Source organism: Homo sapiens, chromosome 1 (assembly GCF_000001405.40).
Source record: "Homo sapiens chromosome 1, GRCh38.p14 Primary Assembly".
NCBI classification, from domain to species: Eukaryota; Metazoa; Chordata; class Mammalia; order Primates; family Hominidae; genus Homo; species Homo sapiens.
In genome coordinates, this window is record NC_000001.11 from 100,943,023 (window position 1) to 100,961,181 (window position 18,159).

General features: G+C 38.2%; 1 protein-coding gene across 4 annotated transcripts in view, besides 1 other annotated feature; it reads left to right on the forward strand.

Moving 5' to 3' along the window:
- The window catches only part of SLC30A7 (solute carrier family 30 member 7), a 99,989-nt gene that overhangs the window by 46,933 nt on the left and 34,897 nt on the right, over window positions 1-18,159 (forward strand). The gene's annotated exons all lie outside the window — the stretch shown is intronic.
- Window positions 6,754-6,803: an enhancer, noted in NCBI's record as "active region_1390". NCBI's record gives its function as "activates an Ori minimal core promoter by ATAC-STARR-seq in GM12878 lymphoblastoid cells {active_cell/tissue: GM12878}" and the evidence as "EXISTENCE:reporter gene assay evidence [ECO:0000049][PMID:35858748]".

Sequence of the window (18,159 nt, forward strand, 5' to 3'; positions counted from 1 at the left end):
TGAAGTTCCAACAGCTTAGATTTTGAATTACTTATTTTCACACAATCAGTTCTCCAGCAGACAGTAGCTGAGTATCCTCTAATTCAGTTCAATTCTGACACTGCCTGGAGACAGTGTGAGATCTCACAGGTTGAGGGATCCCACTTCTGATGCCATTTGCAAACCCCAGGTTAGTTTGCCTGTGCTTCTGACTGACCGGCTATAAACTGGGGATCCCACAACCCCCTCCTTGGATTCGATTAATTTACTAAAGCAGCTCACAGAACTCAGGGAAGCATGTTTACTAGCGTATTATAAAGGACATAACAAAGGATACAGAGGAAGAGATGCATGGGGTGAGGTATGGGGGAAGGATAGAGCTTCCATGTCATTTCTAGGTGAGCCACACTCCAGGAAACTTCATGTCTTCAGCTATCTGGAAGCTTCCCAAACCCTGTCCTTTTGGGTTTTTATGGAGGCTTCATTACATAGGCATGATTGATTAATTGGCCATTGGTGATCAACTTAACCTTCAGCCGCTCTCCCTATCTGGATCTTTCTAATCATGCCTTGATCTTTCTGCATGACCAGCCCACATCCTGAAGCTACCTACAGGCTGCCAGCCATCAGTCAACTCATTAGAAAGACATCACTTTAGAGAGTCCAAGGATTTTAAGAGCTGTATATCAGGAAATGGGTCAAAGACCAAATATGTATTTTGTAATATTACATCATCAGTAAAGCAGTTCTGTGCAACCTTAAAAAGGAGAATAAAGATGATCTTTATGTGGTAATGTGGTATGATTTTCAAGAATATTATTAAGAAAACAAGATAGCACTTAATATGTAGCACATGATATATAGGTTTATAGCATAAACTATATAAAAGCACTGCTACCTTTTATATAAGAAGAAGAGACATGCATATAATCTAAATGTTTTCATATAATTTTGAAAAGAAACACTGGAAGAATAAATCAAAAGCAAATATAGTTACCTTTTCGGCAGAGGAAAGGGATTAGAAGTGAGACTTTGAATTTTCATTTTATTTTATTTATATATTTTTTCGAGACAGGGTCTGGCTCTGTCACCCAGGCTAGAGTGAGGGCAGTGGCACAGTCTCTGCAGCATCTGCCTCCTGGCCTCAAGCCATCCTCCTACTTCAGCCTCCCAAGTAGCTAGGACTACAGGTGCACACCACCACGCCTGGCTAATTTTTGTAGAGATGGGGTTTTGCCATGTTGTCCAGGCTGGTCTCAAACTCCTGGACTCAAGAAATCCACCCTCCTCAGTCTCCCAAAGTGCTGGGATTATAGGTGTGAGACACCATACCCAGACAGAATATGTTTTTAAAATATTTTTGACTTTGGAATCATCCACATATTTAGCCCTTCAAAGAAAAGTAAGTCAAAAACGTGAAAAGCATATTGAGATTTTTTAACTTACTAGCTGCAAAAAGAAAAAAAAATTGGCTCCTTTTGGTTCTTTAGTTTTTTTATTTATTTATTTTTTATTTTGTTATACTTTAAGTTCTAGGGTACATGTGCACAATTTGCAGGTTTGTTAAATAGGTATGCATGTGCCATGTTGGTTTGCTGCACCCATCAACTCCTCATTTACATTAGGTATTTCTCCTAATGCTATCCCTCCCCCCACCCCCTACTCCCCGGTGTATATGTGCCACAATTTCTTAATACAGTCTATCATTGATGGACATTTGGGTTGGTTCCAAGTCTGCTATTGTGAATAGTGCCACAATAAACATACGTGTGCATGTGTCTTTATAGTAGCATGATTTATAATCCTTTGTGGGATCACTGGGTCAAGTGGTATTTCTAGTTCTAGATCCTTGAGGAATCGCCACAGTCTTCCACAATGGTTGAACTAATTTACACTCCCACCAACAGTGTAAAAGCGTTCCTATTTCTCCACAACCTCTCCAACATCTGTTGTTTCCTGACTTTTTAATGATCGCCATTCTAACTGGCATGAGATGGTATCTCATTGTGGTTGTGATTTGCATTTCTCTGATGGCCAGTGATGATGAGCATTTTTTCATGTGTCCGTTGGCTGCATAAATGTCTTCTTTTGAGAAATGTCTGTTCATATCCTTCTCCCACTTTTTGATGGGGTTGTTTTTTTCTTGTAAATTTGTTTTAAGTTCTTTGTAGATTCTGGATATTAGCCCTTTGTCAGATGGGTAGATTGCAAAAATTTTCTCCCATTCTGTAGGTTGCCTGTTCACTCTGACGGTAGTTTCTTTTGCTGTGCAGAAGCTCTTTAGTTTAATTAGATCTCATTTGTCTCTTTTGGCTTTTGTTGCCATTGCTTTTGGTGTTTTAGTCATGAAGTCCTTGCCCATGCTTATGTCCTGAATGGTATTGCCTAGGTTTTCTTCTAGGGGTTTTATGGTTTTAGGTCTAACATTTAAGTCTTTAATCCATCTTGAATTAATTTTTGTATAAGGTGTAAGGAAAGGATCCAGTTTCAGCTTTCTACATATGGCTAGCCAGTTTTCCCAGCACCATTTATTAAATAGGGAATCCTTTCCCCATTTCTTGTTTTTTTCAGGTTTGTCAAAGATCAGATGGTTGTAGATGTGTGGTATTATTTCTGGGGCCTCTGTTCTGTTCCATTGGTCTATATCTCTGTTTTGGTACCAGTAGCATGCTATTTTGGTTACTGTAGCCTCATAGTATAGTTTGAAGTCAGGTAACGTGATGCCTCCAGCTTTGTTCTTTTTGCTTAGGATTGTCTTGGCAATGCGGGCTCTTTTTTGGTTCCATATGGACTTTCAAGTAGTTTTTTCCAATTCTGTGAAGACAGTCCTTGGTAGCTTGATGGGAATGGTATTGAATCTATAAATTACCTTGGGCAGTATGGCCATTTTCATGATATTGATTCTTCCTATCCACAAGCATGAAATGTTCTTCTATTCATTTGTGTCCTCTTATTTCATTGAGCAGTGGTTTGTAGTTCTCCTTGAAGAGGTCCTTCACATCCCCTGTAAGTTGGATTCCTAGGTATTTTATTCTCTTTGAAGCAATTGTGAATGGAAGTTCACTCATGATTTGGCTCTCTCTTTGTCTGTTATCGGTGTATAGGAATGCTTGTGATTTTTGCACATTGATTTTGTATCCTGAGACTTTGCTGAAGTTGCTTATCAGCTTAAGGAGATTTTGGGCTGAGATGATGGGAGTTTTCTAAATATACATTCATGTCATCTGCAAACAGGGACAATTTGACTTCCTCTTTTCCTAATTGAATACCGTTTCTTTCTTTCTCTTGCCTGATTGCCCTGGCCAGAACTTCCAACACTATGTTGAACAGGAGTGGTGAGAGGGGGTATCCTTGTCTTGTGCCGGTTTTCAAAGGAAATGCTTCCAGTTTTTGCCCATTTAGTATGATATTGGCTGTGGGTTTGTGATAAATAGCTTTTATTATTTTGAGATAGATTCCATCAATCCCTAGTTTGAGAGTTTTTAAGCATTAAGTCCTGTTGAATTTTGTCAAAGGCCTTTTCTGCATCTTTTGAGATAATCATGTGGTTTTTGTAGTTGGTTCAGTTTATGTGATGGATTACGTTTATTGATTTGCATATGTTGAACCAGCCTTGCATCCCAGAGATGAAGCCCACTTGATCATGGTGGATAAGCTTTTTGATGTGCTGCTGGATTTGGTTTGCCAGTATTTTATTGAGGATTTTTGCATCGATGTTCATTAAAGATATTGTTCCAAAATTTTCTTTTTTTTGTAGTGTCTCTGCCGGGCTTTGGTATCTGCATGATGCTGGCCTCATAAAATGAGTTAGGGAGGATGCCCTCTTTTTCTATTGATTGGAATAGTTTCAGAAGGAATGGTACCAGCTCTTCTTTGTACCTCTGGTAGAATTCAGCTGTGAATCTGTCTGGTCCTGGACTTTTTTTGGTTGGTAGGCTGTTAATTATTGCCTCAATTTCAGAGCTTGTTACTGGTCTATTCAGAGATTCAACTTCTTCCTCGTTTAGTCTTGGGAGGGTGTATGTGTCAAGGAATTTATCCATTTCTTCTAGATTTTCTAGTTTATTTGCATAGAGGAATTTCTTGCCTTCTGCTAGCTTTTGTATTTGTTTGCTCTTGGTTTTCTAGTTATTTTAATTGTGATATTAGGGTATTGATTTTAGATCTTTCCAGATTTCTCTTGTGAGCCTTTAGTGCTATAATTTTCCCACTGCACACTGCTTTAAATGTGTCCCAGAGATTCTGGTACATTGTGTCGTTGTTTTCATTGGTTTCTAAGAACATCTTTATTTCTGCCTTCATTTCATTATTTACCCAGTAGTCATTCAGGAACAGGTTGTTCAGTTTCCATGTACTTGTGTGGTTTTGAGTGAGTTTCTTAATCCTGAGTTCTAATTTGATTGCACTGTGATCTGAGAGTTTGTTGTGATTTCTGTTCTTTTACATTTGCTGAGGAGTGCTTTACTTCCAATTATGTGGTCAATTTTAGAATAAGTGTGATGTGGTGCTGAGAAGAATGTATATTCTGTTGATTTGGGGTGGAGAGTTCTGTAGATGTCTGTTAATTTCGCTTAGTGCAGAGTTGAGTTCAAGTCCTGGACATCCTTGTTAACCCTCTGTCTTGTTCTGATATTGAGAGTGGGGTGTTAAAGTCTCCCATTATTATTGTGTTGGAGTCTAAGTCTCTTTGTAGGTCTCTAAGGACTTGCTTTATGAATCTGGGTGCTCCTCTGTTGGGTCCATATATATTTAGGATAGTTAGCTCTTCTTGTTGAATTGATCCCTTTACCATTATGTAATGGCCTTCTTTTGTCTCTTTTGATCTTTGTTGTTTTAAAGTCTGTTTTATCAGAGACTAGGATTGCAATCCCTGCTCTTTTTTTGCTTGCCGTTTGCTTGGTAGATCTTCCTCCATCCCTTTACTTTGAGCCGATATGTGTCTCTGCATGTGAGATGGGTCTCCTGAATACAGCACACTGATGGGTCTTGACTCTTTATCCAGTTTGCCAGTCTGTGTCTTTTAATTGGGGCATTTAACCCATTTACATTTAAGGTTAATATTGTTATGTGTGAATTTGATCCTGTCATTATGATGTTAGCTGGTTATTTTGCCCATTAATTGATGCAGTTTCTTCATAGCATCGATGGTCTTTACAATTTGGCATGTTTTTGCAGTGGCTGGTGCTGGTTGTTCCTTTCCATGTTTAGTGTTTCCTTCAGGAACTCTTGTAAGGCAGGCCCACAGAATCTCTCCACATTTGCTTGTCTGTAAAAGATTTTATTTCTCCTTCGCTTATGAAGCTTAGTTTGGCTGGATATGAAATTCTGGGTTGAAAATTCTTTTCTTTAAGAAATTTAAATATTGGCCCCCACTCTCTTCTGGCTTTTAGGGTTTCTGCTGAGAGATCCACTGTTTGTCTGATGGGCTTCTCTTTGTGGGTAACCCGACCTTTCTCTCTGGCTGCCCTTAACATTTTTTTCCTGCATTTCAACCTTGGCGAATCTGACAATTGTGTGTCTTGGGGTTGGTCTTGTCGAGGACTATCTTTGTGGTGTTCTTTATATTTCCTGAATTTGTATGTTGGCCTGCCTTGCTAGGTTGGGGACGTTCTCCTGGATAATATCCTGAAGAGTGTTTTCCAACTTTGTTCCATTCTTCCTGTCACTTTCAGGTATACTAGTCAAACGTAGATTTAGTCTTTTCACGTAGTCCTGTATTTCTTGGAGGCTTTGTTACTTTTTACTTTTTTCTCTAAACTTGTCTTCTTGCTTTATTTCATTAATTTGATCTTTAATCACTGATACCCTTCTTCCACTTGATCAAATTGGCTATTGAAGCTTGTGCATGCGTCATGAAGTTCTCATGCCATGGTTTTAAGCTCCCTTAGGTCATTTAAGGTCTTCTCTACACTGTTTAGTTAGTCATTCATCTAACCTTTTTTCAAGGTTTTTAACTTCCTCGTGATGGGTTAGAACATGCTCCTTTAGCTTGGAGAAGTTTGTTATTACTGATCTTCTGAAGCCTACTTCTGTCAACTCGTCTAAGTCCAGCTTTGTTCTGTTGCTGGTGAGGAGCTGCGATCCTTTGGAGGAGAAGAGGCGCTCTGGTTTTTAGAATTTTCAGCTTTTCTGCTCTGGTTTCTCCCCATCTTGTGGTTTTATCTACCTTTGGTCTATGATGGGGTTTTGGTGTAGATGTCTTTTTTTGTTGAGGTTGATGCTATGCCTTTCTGTTTGTTAGCTTTCCTTGTAACAGTCAGGTCCCTCAGCTTCAGGTCTGTTGGAGTTTGCTGTAGGTCCACTCCAGACCCTGTTTTTCTGGGTATCACCAGCGGAGGCTGCAGAACAGCAAATATTGCTGCCTGATCCTTCCTCTGGAAGCTTCATCCCAGAGGGGCACCCGCCTGTGTGAGGTGTCTGTCAGCCCCTACTGGGAGGTGTCTCCCAGTTAGGCTTCATGGGGGTCAGGAACCCACTTGAGGAGGCAGTCTGTCCGTTCTCAGTGCTCAAAACACCATGCTAGGAGAACCACTGCTCTCTTCAGAGCTATCAGACAGGGACGTTTAAGTCTGCAGAAGTTTCTGCTGCCTTTTGTTCAGCTATGCCTTGCCCACAGAGGTGGAGTCTGTAGAGACAGTAGGCCTTACTGAGCTGCGGTGGGCCCCTCCCAGTTTGAGCTTCCTGGCTGTTTTGTTTACCTACTCAAGCCTCAGCAATACAGATGCCCCTCCCCCAGCCAGGCTGCAGCATTGCAGGTCGATCTCAGACTGCTGCACTAGCAGTGAGCAAGGCTCTGTGGGTATGGGACCCACTAAGCCAGGCATGAGAGAGAATCTCCTGGTCTGCCGGTTGCTCAGACCATGGGAAAAGTGCAGTATGTAGGTGGGAGTGTCCCCTTTTCCCAGGTACAGTCTGTCATGGCTTCCCTTGGCTAGGAAAGGGAAATCCCCCAACCCCTTGCACTTCCTGGGTGAGGTGATGCCCCACCCTGCTTCAGCTCGCTCTCTGCAGGGTGCACCCACTGTCCAACCAGGCCCTGTGAGATGAACCAGGTACTTCAGTTGGAAATGCAGGAATCACCCGTCTTCTGCGTCGATCACGCTGGGAGCTGCAGTGGTTCTTTAGTTTTAATGGTCACTCTTAATCTGTATGTTAATTTCAAACTCTCCACCACTGGGTATAGCCTGCCCTTAAATTAATCTGTTGTTTTGCTTAATTAATCCTTTGGAAACATGAATTCCAGTCATACCTCAGCAACTAAATATTTTAATATGGTTAGCATCCAGTGTAAGTAGCAATTAACTTACTTTGAGATATTCAATAAAAAATATATTCTCACAGTGTTATTTAAAATTTTGTATTTTAGGTAATCAGTTAAATAAGAGTTCTTTTTCTTTGTTTTTATTTCACAATTTAGGTTTACTTAAACATGTAACTTTGGAAGTCAGCATGGAGTTTGGGCCCAGAATGGAAATTGGGTGTCAGAGATTTGTTTTTGGTCATGTCATTTGACTGTACCAGTCAGCTCTATGATGGCAGAAAACTTTCACATTGTTTTCTATCACTGCCTCTTGCCAAGGTCCACTGGGGTTATTTTTACTGTTGATGTTTTCCTGAGCTTTTGCATTTTTTTCTGTGGGCTGGTCCTTTTATACACTTTAAAAATCAGCTTCTCCTAAAATCAGGACTTTACTGTAGGCAAAGTTCTCTGAAAGAGCCCACAAAGTCACTTTTATAACTTTAACCCCGACTAGTTAAAAGCACTCACTATGTTGATGAAATCCTATTTTAGTTTGGGTTGCCCTAGAGACATGATTCATGTCCCCCTGTGACATGGATTCAAGTGCAAGTAGTTTATCTGGGAGGTGATCCTAACAAACACCTGTAGAGGAGTGGAGAAGTGAGACAGGGAAGGGAAGGAGCCAGCATCGGGTTCAGTGTCAATTAAGTTACCACTATAGGCAACAGGAGCTTAAGTTGCTGAGTAACTCGGGGAGCCAGCGTAGGAGTCATGTTTCAGAGTTATCCCACTGGAGGGGAAGAAGGGAAATGGGATTTATAGACCAACTCCTCAGTCGTTGGAAGACAGCTGCTGAAAAGTGAGGGAGTGTGAATCAGATTTTTTCCACTTGGCAGATATGCAAAGCAAGCTTTGGGGTTAGAGAAAGATGTTAGGTGAAATGCTGGCAGTTAGAAGGAAAAGGGGTGCGAAGCAGGGGAGGGGTATGTCAGGGTACTGACACAAAGTACCCCTTTGTCTACTACAAAGCTAGAACTCATTTAGAAAAAGCAAAGCAATAACAACAAATAACAGCGAAAAAGGGAATCAGGTTAAAGGAATCAGAAAAGACAGAAAAATGCTAATCAGAAAAAAAAGCTTTGTTATAGAATCTTAGTTAATCCATTCCTAATTTTCAGCAAAGAAGATCCACAAATTATACTAACATGTTGCTTGTGAAAAAGGAGGCACTACCCTCCAAGTCTCGTAGTTGAAGAAGAATGGAACCCAACTTTTCCACAGCATTACTTCCCATAATGCTCCAAGGTGCACCTCTTTTCTTCAGTTAGCACTGTCTCCCTACTGCCCAGTGTGCTCATGCCAGGCTCGTGGTAACTGCTGTGCCTTTGTTCGTGCTGCTCAGCCTGCCTGCAATCCTCTCCATGTTGTGAAAAGTCTTCCCACCTGGAGGACCTAACTCAGACCCTCCTCTGGCCAGTGAGGTCCTGCCAACAACCTCCTGATTTCTCCCTCCTTACCCACCTGGCTAGGGTAAGAAGAATGGCTGGGCAGAAGAATGGCCCCAAAGATGGCCAAGTCCTAATCCCTGAAACCTGTGAATATATTACCTTACTTCACAAAAGAGACTTTTCAGATGTAATTAAGTTAAAGATTTTGAGATGGGAGATTATTCTGTATTATCCAAGTGGGCCCAATATAATAAAAAAGGGATCTTAAAAGATGGAAGTGGAAGGCAGAAGAGTCAGAGTCAAAGACAAATCTGAAGAGGCTATGCTGCTGGCTTTGAAGATGGAGGAAGAGGCCGGGGCCAAGGAATGCAGGTGACCTCTAGATGTCACGAAAGTCAAGGAAACAGATTCTTTCTAGAGCATGTGACACCTTGATTTTAGCCCAATGGAACGTATTTTGGACTTCTGACCTCCAGAACTGCAAGATAATTAATTTGTGCTATTTTAAGTCACACACATACATACACACACGCACAAATTCACTATATAGCCAGAGTGCCTGGGTTCAAATGCTGTTTTAACTTTTTAGCTGTGTGAGCTTGGACAAGTCACTTAGCTTCTCTGTGACTCAATTTTTCATCTTTAAAATGGGGACAATGATAATACCTACCTCATAATTTGTTGTGTGTGACTTAAATGGGTTAAGATGTGTATATAAAGTCTTGAACAGCGCCTGCCACACTTTCAGTAAAAGTGCTAATTCTTGCCTGCCTTTCTTAAAGGAAGGCTATTGGGAAGCAGACACCATCCACTTAAAGGTAGTCTTCTCTTACTACCGTGACATGTTGTTTCATGTAATTGACTCTTACTCATTCATCACCAAATGGGGAAAGACAGAGAGAAAAAAGGCAAGAAAAAAAACAAAGAGATATAGTTCATCTATATCTTCCCTAGTTACTTTGGAATGACTAGTTCTTGGCTACCTGATGGGCCAGTTCCTAAACCAAATCCTGGATAGGTTCTACCTGCATCATTTAAGAGGACAAAAGATTAACTGTACTTTCAAAGATGCCCTTTTCTCCTTTTCTGCAGTGTCCCTCCTAGATGCTGAATTTTTTCACAGCAACATACTCGGCCATTAAGAGTCAAAGCTCTATTACCATATTGTGAGGAAATGATAGGGTTTGAACACTATGTAGATTGGATCAAATATAAGTATACCATTTTTAACTTGTACTAGTGATATGGTTTGGATTTGTGTCCCTACTCAAACCTCATGTAGCATTGGAGGAAGGACCTGGTGGAAGGTGATTGGATCATGGGTGTAGATTTCCCCCTTGCTGTTCTTGTGATAGTGAGTTCTCATGAGATCTGATGATTTAAAAGTGTGTGGCACTTCCTCCTTCACTGTCTCTTTCTCTCCTGTCACCATGTGAAGAAGGTCCTGTCTTCTTCACCTTCTGCCATGACTGTAAATTTCCTGAGGCCTCCTACTCATGCTTCCTGTTAAGCCTGTGGAACTGTGAGTCAATTAAACCTCTTCTTTTCATAAATTACGTAGTCCCAGGTAGTTTTTTATAGCAGTATGAAGGCAGACAAATACAACTAGGTAGACATAGTTTAACTCAGATTCCTGATAGCTAGTTGAAACCAGAGATTAATTAGCATTTTGGTCCTATTCCTTTTGGATTTTTCTTGCTGACCTTTTTGTTCTGGGCTAATACTTGTCATTTCTGAAGCTACCTGAATGGTAATTCATTCAATTTTGATAGTCTTAACAAGTACTTCTTGTTGTCTCATCTGGTTTTTCTAAACAAGGTCCTGTTTCTTGACTTCTGTGCTTTTTAAAATGCAGATTTGCCTAAAGAGCTTGTTCTCCTGCCTGTGTCCATCCTTACCTAACCGCTGCTTTCAGATGGAGTGGGGCAGTTCCTCCAGGTCTCATTAGCATTTCAATACAAATGTTACCATATTTAATATGAATAATATGAATTTATTCCTGTCTGATCTTCTCTCAAAGCCGTGTATATTTTCTGGAGCTTTTTGCCCAATACTGTATTGACTTTAGTCTCTTCCCATTTTAAGATTTAATTTTTACTTATATTGCTGGTGTGATTTTAGTTTCTTATTCATAAAAATGAAGAGAAGAGATTCTATTAAGATAAATTGCACATTGAGAATTGAGAATGCTGATTGTTCCTAAGTATAATTCTTTCCAATGTATGTTTGAATGGAGGATAAGATACTTTGCTTTCTGTTTATTAGAGGTTCTTTTTTAGATATGACTGAATTGGGAGGCTCTTCACTGTTATGCTATTTAGCTGTTATTGTGAAGGGTTGAAAGTCACGTCAAACAAGGGCTGGTTTAGATGTCAGTAATCTGCCATTTGGAATTTCTAAGTATATAATACATTCTTCAGCAGACGTGTTAAGTGGTTATTATGTTCTAAGCATTGTGCTGGGGGAATAAAATGAATATGGCATTTCATTCTTATTCTCTTCACTCTAGAGAACATAACTGTGATGAGATACTGCAGTGTGTGCAGAGCTTTTGTCTTGGCAATGTCACACCCAACTCTGCCACTAACTCTTACCTATGTATAACAAAGAACAAGTTATTTTAACCTCTCCAAGTTAGTTTTCTCATCAGTAAAATGAGGGAGTGATTTTAACATTTTCTTAAAGGTTACTTAAGGTTGTTGTGAGGATTAAATTAAAAAAAATTTATGAAAGCATTTTAAAAACTATTAAGTGCTATCTAAACAATGACATTACTAATTATTTACAAATTTGACATTATACACTGGTGTTTTTGGTCCAAAGACCAGATGCATTAGGTGTTATAACTAAGTTCCAGAAGCTTATGGAAAAGGATGACTTTTTCATGACTTTGGCTCTAAGTTCTAGGGGTACCTTAGGACATCTTAATATCCCCATTATTGGTAAAGCATGTTCTCTATAAATATGCATTGATTTGAGCCAGAGGTTTCAGAAACACAGTATAATTATAAAGTAAAGCACAATCCCAGGTGATAAGATTTTTGGTTATCTATTCTATAGAAGGCTTATGAAATTCTGGATTAATAGGTAATTATCCATCACTATGAATTAATTATATTTATGCAAATGTGACTGAATATTTAATTTAAATGTGAATTGCGTTACCATTATGGGCCAGTTTTCTTTGGCTTTTTTGTCCCCTGAAAATATGATATACAACATAAGCCAAATTTATTTTTAAAATTTATTTTTAAAACTATAATTTTCTTTCTTTGTGTTTGTAGATTGTAAGAACCCCTACAATATATAGGAAAACTTAGCTCATAAGCTGATTCATCAAGATGAATCTGTAATCTTGTTTTAATTAATATTACTTGACATTTATTCTCAGATCTAAGTAATAATTTTAACTGAAATTTTTTATTGTTAAACATTGTGATTGTCAGTAGACTGTTCTTCAGAAGTTTTCGTAATGCATACCCTTTTTTGTTTGGTTTGTTTATAATTACTGGTAGATAATTTTATTTACTGTTGAAGTAGTGAGGCTCTTTCACTAAAAGCTGCTTCTGAAGTAAGATTTGAATATATTTTTACTTGTAAAAAATTACTGGCAGTAAAGAGTAATAAGTAACTACTGCTTATTTAATCTGTTAGCATTTAAGGGTAAAGCTTTCAAATTAATATTATGTTTATGATTGTAAGATTATAACTGTGATTTACCTTCAGCTTTTGAAGAATAAAATCATTGCCCTGTTTTACTGGTAAACTCATACCTAATGACTCATCTCTTTTTATTTATGATAGGGAAATGGTGCTTCATTGTGAATGCTAGAATTGGGTTAGTCAACCAGAAGTGAACCTCTAATTGTTTCCAAATGCTTACTTTTTGGGTTTGGATGTAGCTCTAAGTCTTAGCTCAGTCAGGAATTTGCTAAGCTTGTCGTTTTCTACATTTCCTTTCATTATGGCTAGATAGATCCAAGCTAAAATCTGGTTTATGCTTCTCTATTACAATAGTTAATCAGAAAAATATGGACACAAACTCCTGAGCTAAACACAATTTTAAAAGGCAAAAACTAGAGTTTCTAAAGGTTTCTTTTACATTTTTATGACTCTTTAAATTATTATAGAAATTGGCCTTGTTCTAAATTGTGTATCACCGTGTGATTTAGCAAGTACCTTTATTCTCTACCATAGTTTTATGACCTAGTTATTGCTCCTACAGCTGAAATTCTTGCATTATTTTTAAATTGCTATTGGAGAAAGTTAGTGTGACATATCCATTTGCTTTGGTGAAATGCTTGCTGCTGTTGAGTGTAAAGATTTTATTAAAATTCTACCTAAAAAGACAACCATTCCAAATTTCAGTATAAGCAAATCAATAAAAACCACAATTGATCCTAATGAAAAAAAGAGATAAAAATGCACTATAATTTTATTTCCTTATATCAGTGATGATGTCTTATAATTTAGTTAATTTTAAAATATATGTTTATTTCTAACATTTTATTAAAATGTTTATCTACATATTGTTCTTGAATGGTGTTAAAATGAGTGATCTCTAAATTTCCTTTTAATTCTAATATGATATTATTTGTGATCATGTAACTTCTTTACTAATTCTAGAGTCCTCAAACTAAGGGCCTCATGTGAAAGCGAATTTTAGGAGGAAAAAAGGAAGTACTAGGTTATTTTTTAAAAAGGTGGTGGCAGGGAGTAGCAGACTTTGGAAGGCAACACACATGGAATACACACATAAAAATTTGAACAAAGATTTGGATAAATCTGTAGATGTTTTTTCTAGGTGACTTATTAAGAGACTGTTGGACTGTCTAAGGGAATGTCTTTAATGTTTTAAGGCTGATCTCCTCAAGGATTATTATAGATGGGATTCACCATCTGTTACTGTGTTTAGCTCCTTGGGGGAAACAACTAGACTAAACCTGAATATTCTAAAACAATAAATTTTTAAAAGTTGTTCACAAAAGTTATTCACACCTATTGCTTAAGTAATGTTATTTCTCATACTGTATGCCTTCTGTTGCAGTTGAGTCAGTGCCTCTTCTATTCCTTTTTCTCTTCCCCTTTACTTTTAAAGGTATGTTTAAAAAGAAGTTATCAACATACCAATTAAGAAAACCATTTACCAAAAGTTCATGGAAAATGAAAATGGATACAAGCATAATATGTAGTTGCTTTAAATTCATATGTGCCTTCTTCTAAATGGTTGGCCCTAAATAAGTTTGATGACTGATTTCCATTGCCTTCTCTGCAGGCTTATTAAAAATAAAGTTATGAATTTCTCTGAGATGAAATATTCTATATTATTTATTTTTGTATTTCCAGTGTCTAGCACATGCTTGCTACATGGTTGGCATATAACAGATGTTTGTTGACTTGAACTTTTCAAAACTGAACTTGGAGTCTAACGACCTGATCTGTTCTAGTTCTCCTGCTTAATAGCTGTGTCCTTAAACAAGTTACTTTGGTGCTCTAGGTCACCATTGCCACAACTCGAGAGTAAGGTCCCACCTGGTTCCAGAAAATCTGATGCCAGATATATAGTAGTAGATCCTTAATAATCGCTTAATATTGATTGCTTAATAAAATTCATTTGCTGGATTTTCTATCATGATAGAATAAATCATTTTGCCAAGTATATCTATGTGTCATTTGGTGACACTGCTTTTTTCCCCTTAGTATATAAAAACAATTTATATTTTCTTTCATTTCCAAATATATTCTCTCTCTAGTATTCTTTATAGTTTAACCACTTTTTCTTATTGAATGGAAAATATATAAAAGATGAAAGAAATTGCCTGGATGTTTAGTCTACTCCTTCATTTTATAGATGAGAAAACTGATGCTCTGGAAGACTATGTGATTTGCTTAAAGCTATTTAATGGCAGAATCAGAACCCAAGTGTCATGGTTTCCATGAGTGTAATTTTCACGTCAGATATCTAAACATTGTTAATAGTTCCCTAGATTGAGATTGGAGAAGAAATTATTAAAATAACTAAACTTACGAGGTAGGTAGGAAAAAAACCTTTTTTCTAATTCTCAAACATAATTCAAGGAGAACAATTTTTGTGCCCATTTTCTGAGTACAGTTAGGAAAAGATAAAAATTTTAAGTTTAATATATGAAAACATTCTGTGATGGATTCTTTTTTTTTCCTGAGAAATGAGGATGGAGAGAGTAAAGAAAAATGATGGTTGAATTGTACCTAATTAATATGCCATCATTTTTTTCTTTGCCTTTTTTGTAAACACAGGAAGTCTTCAGCTATTTAATAGCAACACAGTAGGTAGAAACAGATCCCACTCTTTAGTTTAGATGAATGAATAACCAATATTCTTCACTGTCAAAATCCTTAAGTCCATTTGCAGTTGTTTTCTACTCATTTTTTTTCTCTTTCTCCAACCTGGCTTTTACTGTTCCTGAAATGTTACAGTGGATGGCCTCAAACAATATTTGCGTTGTTGTTGTTTTCTTTTTTTTTTGAGATGGAGTCTCGCTCTGTCACCCAGGCTGGAGTGCAGTGGCCCTATCTCGGCTCACTGCAAGCTCCACCTCCCGGGTTCACGCCATTCTCCTGCCTCAGCCTCCTGAGTAGCTGGGACCACAGGCGCCGGCCATCACGCCCAGCTAATTTTTTATATTTTTAGTGGAGACGGGATTTCACCGTGTTAGCCAGGATGGTCTCGATCCCCTGACCTCATGATCCACCCGCCTTGGCCTCCCAAAGTGCTGGGATTACAGGCGTGAGCCACCGCACCCGGCCAGTATTTGCATTGTTTAATCTAATGGCCTTTTTCTGTTTCTGTTTTTCTTCATTGAGGCATTTACTGTTGCTGGAAATGTTTCCCCTTTTTCCAGATGTTTTACTTACTGTGACTTTACTTTCTTTACTTTACTTTCTTTTCTTAACTGCTAATGATTCCATATATTATTTAAGATTTAGTATTGATCCCTAGCCTTAGATATACTTTTAAAATTTATGAATTAATTATGTTTAACAGATTCAGCTACAAATTCTGTTCCATAAACATTTATTTGCCAAACACCATCTGAGATGCTGGGTTTACAAACATAAATAAGATAATTCCTACCTTAAAGCAGCTTTCTGGTTAGAGGGAGGGGGAAACACAATCTGGTAATTATCACGCAATGTAGTAATAGTATAGGTAGCACAGATTTTTTTCATAGGAACACAGAGAAGACACTTCATACAGTGTAGAAGACAGTTTGGGATCAGGAAATATACCCTAAAAGAGGTGACACTTGAAATTTTAAAGAAGGAGTGTAAGACTATAGGGCAGCTTAGGGACATTCTAAGCAGAAGTTATAGTTTGAGCAAAACCATGAAAGTAATAAACAGCATAAGGTAAAGTACAAGTATGTTATATTTGGAGAGTTTAAAATATGAAGCAAGGATTAATAGGAGGTGAAGGTAGAGGGGCCAGATCCAAAAATATACTGTGTTAAAGAGCCAGCACTTAATTCCCTAGGCAGTGGGGAGCTTTTGACACATTTCTTAGTGGTAAAGGGATAGGGTCACATACCTATTTTATGTAGATTAGTCTAACGTCTCTATAAAATATGGTTGTATTAGTTATCTGTGGATACATAATGAAGTACCCAAAAACCTAGTAGCTAAAATAATACACATTATTATCTTATACGTTCTGTGGTTTAGGAACCTGGGCATAGCTAACTATGTTGCCTGGCTCAGGATCTCTCACAAGGCAGTAATCAAGGTAGCAGCCGGGGCTGCAGTTATTCCAAGGTTCATTTGGGGGAGAATCTACTTCTGAGCTCACTCAAGTGGTTACTGACAGGATTATGTTCCTTTTGGGCTGTTGAACTGAGGGTCTGTCTAGTATTTCTCAAGAAGTATCCTTCAATTTCTTGCCACATGTTCCTCACTATAGCACAGCTCACAACACAGCAGCTATGAGAGAGCAAGTGAAAGCAAACGAGGAGGGTATACAAGACAGAGGCCAGAGTCTTTTTACTTAATCTTGGCAGTGATGTCTCATCACTTTGTCATACTCTGTTCATTAGCAGCAAGTCACTAAGTCCTGAAACTTTACATAGGGCATGAATACTACATAGGGCAGGGTCATTGGGAGCCATCACTGAAGCTGCCTGTTACGTGGACTTGAGGAAATAAGACTAGAGCTGAAGGGACCACTTAGGAAGCTATTATAATAATCCACGTAAAAGATACGGATATTATTGTGGACATGCATAGTACAATGAAGGGGAAGGAACTGAGTCAAGAAATATTTAGGATATTAAATCACGAGAACTTGGTGATTTAAGGGAGAAAAAGGAATTAAGGGTGACATCTAATTTTTCTTGGTTCTTAAATCACTATTGACTAAATAATATTTTTACTTGAATGTGACTGAAACTCCTGTCCACATTTAGCTTTCTATCCTCATCACTGCCATCTTCTCCATATTTTTTAGTAATCTGTTTGTCCTTAACATTGCTCTCACTGTGTCTTTCATTAGATCCAGTTAGACACCAGTTATTTCTATTTGCTTAATTTTCCTATTTGTCTTTGTTCCTATGGTTACCCTCCTTGTCCAAATTCTTATCACTATGCACTTAAAGTATGAAAACAGTCTCCTCATTTCTTTCCTGTGCCCTGTGCCCTTCTTCAGGGCAGAGTCTGAAACATTTGATTATCTTTCTGTCATTCGTTTAACCAACAATTGGGCCCACTTTATGACCAGCACTTTGCTAGACCTTGAGAATATAATAGTGAGCCAGATAAGCATTGTCTCTATTCTTTTGGGTCTTTCTTGGTACCTCTCTTTCCTTTCCATCTGTCAAAATAACACCAGTCCTGAAAGTATACTTGCTTCTACTCTTCTTATGAGCTCTTCCTTGAAAGATGGATGTTCTTTTTATCTTCTTCACCTACAGCTATTATCTGAAGTTTTACTTTGAAAATTTTGAAATTCTGTAAGTTTAAAAGTGAGCACTGATTTAAGCTATTAAGTGTAGTGAAGCTATTTCTGACCTCCCCTCTCAATCTACTTCAAGCAGTAGAACAGTACATTACCAGTCTGAATCATTGGAATCACATGGAGAGCTTTTTGGACATTCCCTCAAAGATTCTGATTCAATATATCAGAAGTGAAAACAAAATAAAACTCTAAGGTGAATTGGATATGTGCTAGATTAGAAAGGCATTGCATTAGAGTCACCCTCACCATTCTACTATTAATTGTTTTGTGTGTTTTTTTTTTTTTTTTTTTTTTTTAGACGGAGAGTCTCGCTCTGTCACCCAGGCTAGAGTGCAGTGGTGCGATCTCGGCTCACTGCAAGCTCCGCCTCCCAGGTTCATGCCATTCTCCTGCCTCAGCCTCCCCAGTAGCTGGGACTACAGGCGCCCGCCACCATGCCCGGCTGATTTTTTTTTTTTTGTATTTTTAGTGGAGACGGGGTTTCACCGTGTTAGCCAGGATGGTCT